A 6,368-nucleotide genomic window follows, 5' to 3' on the forward strand; every position below is an offset into this window, starting at 1 on the left:
GCTTGTTAGAAGTTCACATTACCGGGCCCTACTCCAGACCAACCAAATTACAATCTGTATTTTAACATGATCTTCATGTAATTTGTATGCCTAGCCTGTTCAAGTTTGAGATTCGCTGGCCTATGAGGTACATCCAGCTACATAACGCCACCTACTTCTTAAGACTATTTTATTAAAAACAATATTGTTAATACCTTGCCCTCCACATGGCCATGTGTGGTAGCTGAGGGATTTAAAAGTAGACTTTCTGCCGGGTGTGGTGGCTTACATCTATAATCCCAGCACCTTGGGAGGGCAAAGTGGGCAGATACATGAGGTCAGGAGTTCGAGACCAGCTCGGCCAATATGGTGAAACCCCATCTCTACTAAAAATACAAAAATTATTTGGGTGTGGTGGCACGTGTCTGTAATCTCAGCTACTCAGGAGGCTAAGGCACGAGAATCACTTGAACCTAGGAGGCAGAGGTTGCAGTGAGCTGAGTGAGATTGCACCACTGCACTCCAGCCTGGGTGACAGAGCAAGTCACTGTCTCAAAAAAAAAAAAAAAAAAAAAAAAGACACTTTCTGACTCTAAAGCCTATGTTTTTCCCACTACAGATGTCTTCTGTTCCATTCATCTCTCTTGGATATTACATTATGAGGACCTACCTTGAAACCAGATGTGACCTCCAGTAATCCCTTCTGACTTTAAGATCCACTAATTTATTTAAAATACCCTACTTATATAACCCTATCTCATGACTCAGTAAAAAATTACAGAAGCAGAGGAAGAAGTGCTTCCTTTTGTGGGACATTCAGACGCTTTGGGTTTGTGCCAAGATGTCAGGGGAAGTTCCCATTTCACATTCTTCTTCTTTTGCTTGGATAATTGAGGATCTCAAATGATGTCAGACTTTCTGAGGTCTTTCTGTGAATTCATTCTTGGCTGATCTCATCATCAGAATGCCACTATTATAAGGTACCGCCCCTGGAATTGCTCAAACTCAGCAGCTGACTAGACTTCTTCAGGATGCCTCAAGGCATCCACTTGAAGGGCCACTTGGAGCAAAGAGTCTATTTCTGTTCTTAGGTGAAGGCCTGATTCAGTTGCTTACTACAAGTGCTTGAAATTTGCTACTGGATGTCCTTCATCTTTCTCTTTCTTAACAGATTCCCAACTTATCACAGAAAATATGTTTGTGATAGCAGTAAACAGACAGTGGTTGACAAAACTGTATCATCAGTGATTTCTTACAGCAGAGAACTATGGGATTAACCACACCTCACTTAGTGTAAAATACACACTGTATATGGGCAGAAAAAAGAATCATACGAACCAAAAAATGAAACATCCAGGGGATAATAAAAATACTATGATTATATCCTGAAGCTTCCTGGCTTACCAGATGTGCCAACCTTAGTTTTATTTAGTGATGAGGTACATATCATGTCCCTTAAAATCCTCATGAGTTAGCTCAATTGGCTTTCCAGATGGAGACCAATGGTCCCAAAATATCTCACCTCCTTCCTCTCCATCCCTAGGATGTAGCACAGAAGACACCCACAAATTCAAGAGAGCTTTAAGGTAAAATACCTGTGGAAACCCTCAATGAGTAGATAGACTCAGAGTCACTCACAAAATGAGAACAAGTCCCCAGATGATTGTCTCTGTTTAGTGCATTACAGTGAGAAACGTGATTTTATTCCCCACTAAGTCTTTCTAGCCATCCCTGGAGCCCCAGCCACCTTATAAAATGCATTTAACTGTTGCACTGTCATTCTTCCTATCTACAGATGCCCACAGATCTTTGCTTATGGGATTCTTTCAGCCTGAATGTTCTTCACAAACTCTGCCTTTCTAAATCCCAGGAACATTTCAATGCAATTCTTCTCTGAAGCCTTCCTTGGTTACTAATATTAAATCTAACACCAAATTCACAGCTTATGTGTTTCCTAGAGCACTTGGATGTTCTGCCTGTTTTAGAGTTTTTTTGTCATTGTTAGTCTGTCTTGCTCGCCACATATCAATCTGTTTTACTAGATTGTTTTACTTGTTTGTATGATTTTACAAGCTCCTATAATACCAATCTATCACACATTCTAAAACAGATGGGTGCAATAATAAATCGCCATTTGACTGGGGAACGTTTCTCTTAAAGTTAAGAAAAAAATATCAGGCCTTGCTCCTCCAAAAATGTCAGGTGGATCACCTGAGGTCAGGAGTTCGAGACCACTCCTCCACTGTGGAGTAGACAACCCATGGTTATAACCCTCAAACCCTGTGGTCCTTTGAGGTTGCCACTGTATCCAGGGGGTGTAACCAAAGCAGTAGGATTTGCTCTCTGGCCTCCATGAAAAAGAGTTCTTTACTTCAAAAGTAGTTCCACCCTTCCTCATTTCACAAAACCTAATGCTTTGCTATAATACAACATGATATAGTAGTAGACTCCAAGAAGTTTTCTTTATCTTTTAGAAATTAATATGTGTGACACAAGTTATAAAAAATTAAAAGAATGGGTAGTTTTATAAATCTCATTTTATCTACAAGTCTATATTTTAAGTTTTTCTCTATGTTGCTATGCAGAAAAAAAGAATTCAAACAATTCTGACAAAAACTAGTAATTATTTCATAACTGAGGCTGTTACAAGAAAGATGGCTTGAAAGGGCAGGTGCTAAAAAACATAAAAAGATTCTGTAAAGGGTTCTGATGGGACAGAAATGGCAAATTTAAAAGAGAGGTAAAGAAAATTGGAGAGAGGAGCTTCTAATGACAAAATATTGTAGTGAGACTAAAGACAAGACTACTTTGAAGACTACAGAATCAAATATAATACTTCACAAAATAAAAGGGCTTTTGCAATAGTCATATTCAAAGGCTCTCTAAAGACCTAATTAAATTTGGGAGACGAAGGCAGGCCGATCACTTGAGGTCAGGAGTTTGAGACCAGCCTGTCCAACATGATGAAACCCTGTATATATTAAAAATAAAAATAAAAAAATTAGTTGGGCGTGGTGGCGCATGCTTTTAATCCCAGCTACCAGATGGCTGAGACACGAGATTTGCTTGAACCCAGGAGGCAGAGGTTGAAGTGAGCCGAGATGGCACCATTGCTCTCCAGCCCCAACTAATTCTAATGTGATGATGATCCCTGCTTGAGGTGCATATTGTAAAGTTAAGAGGAAATGGATATGTTCTCTTTGGTTTCCTCTTTATTCCGTCAATAAATATATTAAGACAAGCCAGACTTGTGAAAATCTAGACTTCATATATTTGTCTCCAGAGGGAAAGATAGGAGGAAGAAATTTTTAGTAATTAAACACATGAGTAGAAACTAGAAGAATGCAAATTATGAGTTGATATAAAGAACACTTTCTAGCTTTCTTTAATTTAGAACATTTTACAGCCTTTTTTGGCAATTGACATTTTTGAGGTAATTGTCTGCTGCATCTTTTTTGTTTGTTTTAATAGAATGTTACTCATTTTGTGTTTGTCATCTTTCCTCATGATTAGATTCAGGCTATAGATTCTCAGCGAGAATGCAGCATATGTGATACCGTGTTTTTCTTCACACATACGGAGGCACATTATGTCCAACTTTCTGTCATAGGTGATATTAAAGTTGGTCTTATGGTAATGATGCTGTTGATTTCTCCACTGTATAATTACTGTTTATGTTTTCTCCCTTGTAACTAATCAGCAATCTGTAGGGAGACACTTTAAGACTATGCAAATACCCTGTTTCTTGTCAAAATTTTCCCCTAGATTTAGCATTCATTCAGGATTCTTGCCTGAGCTAATCTTTACCATGATGGCTGTAAAATCTTCTTTCATATAATGCTCATTATGCAGAATGTGGAATATATAGAAACATAAAATGCATAAAGGAAAAATCTAAAAGAAAGCTCTCCACCTATTAAATAAATAAATGTATGTGAAGCAATTTTCATGTATTGTTTTTCTGTCTTCTCAGGAATGTGTACGTAAACAGAATCATGTATTTTGTGATGTGAATGTGTGACTCCAGCACTTGCCGTACATTTACCAGTTCGCCTTTGTTATTCCATTGTAAGCAAGGAATCCACCCCTTGTTAATCAATTAATTAATCTATTTTTAACACGGAATCTTAAATATTAATTTTAAAGATTTATAATTTATTATTGTTCTTATTTATTTTGGTGCTCAAAATTGTTGTATGTCTGGCCATTGGGAGCTCCTTCAGTTTGGTTCCTGTGTACCTATAACATGCAAGATCTTTCTTCCTTTCTTTTTGCCTCTCTCCCCTCTCTTTTTCTTTGTTTCTTTTTCTTTATTTTTTTCTCTTTTCTCTCTCTTCTTTCTTCCTTTCTAGAACTTTCATAATTATGATACAATAAGATGTTCCAGACTCATCTCTCACACTGATACTGTCCTAGCCCTGAAATCAGCCATGTCTCTTAGTAGCTCTGGTTTAATTTAGTGGGAAATTGTATTAATAATCAAGTTCTGAGCACTAAGTATGTTCAATGCTGTGGAGTAGGATCCACTATGGCCAGTGCTGTCTTATGCAGGGCTTAATGTGGAGTGAAAACCAAAAGAAGGTTCCCCAAGGTCAGAGGGAGGATAACATCACTTGATATAAGCTACTTGTTAGGAGACAGAATTTTCAGAGTGAAAATGAGGCTATTCTGGCAGATATAACTTATACAAATTGATGTGATCAGCCCTGTGTATAACTGAGTGTCTCAAAGTTTTAGCAATGTTTCAAACTCCAATCTAGGTGATCTATGTGCTATTGTAGAGAGGCAGTGTGAAAACATGATTGTAATTTTAGTAAGCAGAAACCTAAGTGATTGCTTGTCATGTTTACAGAAACTGTGAATTGAAGAGTATGGCAGTATTACCTAGATCAGCAGTCTCCAACTTCTTTTATTGTACATCCTAGAAGTAAAAATATTTAAATATGCTTCTGTGGTACAATACTAAGATTCATCAAAAGAGGCCACAATCACTATTATTAAATAGAACGAAACTTTGTAAAGTACCAGGTCAAGAATTAATTGCCTTTAACATACATGTATTTCCCAATCACTGAAAGAAAAAGTATATGGAATATTTTCATTTTATATATGCTTAGTATTTAATTTCTTCTATTAAATAAAATTTATAGGGGGCCATTGATTTGAACTGAGCTGCTGCACCAGGCCAACAGACCAAAATGGAGTCACTCATGCTGAAGTTCCACATCACCAAACTGAAACTAAGTTGTCTATCAGACCTTCTAAGAAGTCAGGAGACAGAGGGAGATAATAGCCAAGTCATCAAACAGGCCAGTTTTAGCCAGCATGATTTTTAAAACATCTCCTTTGTTTATCTTTTACAAAAAAAGTAACTTTGAAATGACCAACCGACTTTTTGTATTCTGTTTCTGCTTTTCTCAGCCCTTTTCTGGCTTTAAAAGAAAACTCCTCTGCTCAGCTCATCAGAACACTCATTCTGTTTTATGGAATGAAATGTTGCTTGATCTGACGTTTGCAAATAAAGCCAATTAAGATCTTTAAGCTAAATTTGTTGTAACTTTGTCTTTTCACACTTTTGACACTTTCTAAACATGGTGGTTCCATACTATCACCAGTTAATATCTCAAGACACATTGTACACTTTGGGCAATGTCTACTACTAAAAATAGTGAAAGTTAAGTTTCTCTATCAAGTTCTCTACTGTGATACCCTGTTTTTGGCTTGTCAGTTATAATAAGATGATGTAAGAGAAAAGAAATAGTTTTCTCTCTGCGCTTTACAGTTGTTAGTTGGAATGAACCCTTGTAACAAAAGAGAGATTAACAAGAGAAAAACGTACGGAAGTTTAATAACATGTATATCTCATGTACACATAGGAGCTCCCAGAGAAATGAGTAAATCTCAAAGAAATGGCTTTGAGTTCAGGCTTAGATTTTATCTCCAGGTGAAACAAAGAAAGAATGGTGTGGGAGAAGGCCAGTTATGAAGAAGCATCTAGGAAAAGTAAGGTAAACAGAATAAGATTTTTTAAGTTAGTAGGTAGAATTAAGGCAGATTTAAATCTAAAGTTACATTTAAGTTGGTGCCACCTCTATTAATATAAGCATATCGGTGAGTTAGATCATCTTTTTCTCTCTTGTAGAGAGGGAGACACCTTTACAAATGGAGATTTCTTCATAGATATAAATTTCTGTTACATCTACTCGTGTTTTCAGAGCTTCTTCTGTGTCCTCAGTCTCTCAAAATAATCATCTCAAAATAATGCTTCTGCCAAACAGGCATACTTTGAAGTGGGGTATTATAGTTTCTTATTATCATATTTTAAGGGAGCATATGTTTGGTCTCCAGCAATCATAAATGTTTCCTTATCATAAGGTGCTTGATGAAGA

At 36.9% G+C, this 6,368-nt stretch overlaps 1 annotated feature.

Annotated features, from left to right (window-relative positions):
* Nucleotides 260-1,459: an enhancer, noted in NCBI's record as "BRD4-independent group 4 enhancer chr3:189949260-189950459 (GRCh37/hg19 assembly coordinates)". NCBI's record gives its function as "activates an origin of replication core promoter dependent on BRD2, P300/CBP, MED14 and CDK7 cofactors, and independent of BRD4, by STARR-seq in HCT116 cells {active_cell/tissue: HCT116}" and the evidence as "EXISTENCE:reporter gene assay evidence [ECO:0000049][PMID:35650434]".

This window comes from Homo sapiens, chromosome 3, assembly GCF_000001405.40.
Source record: "Homo sapiens chromosome 3, GRCh38.p14 Primary Assembly".
Taxonomy (NCBI): Eukaryota; Metazoa; Chordata; class Mammalia; order Primates; family Hominidae; genus Homo; species Homo sapiens.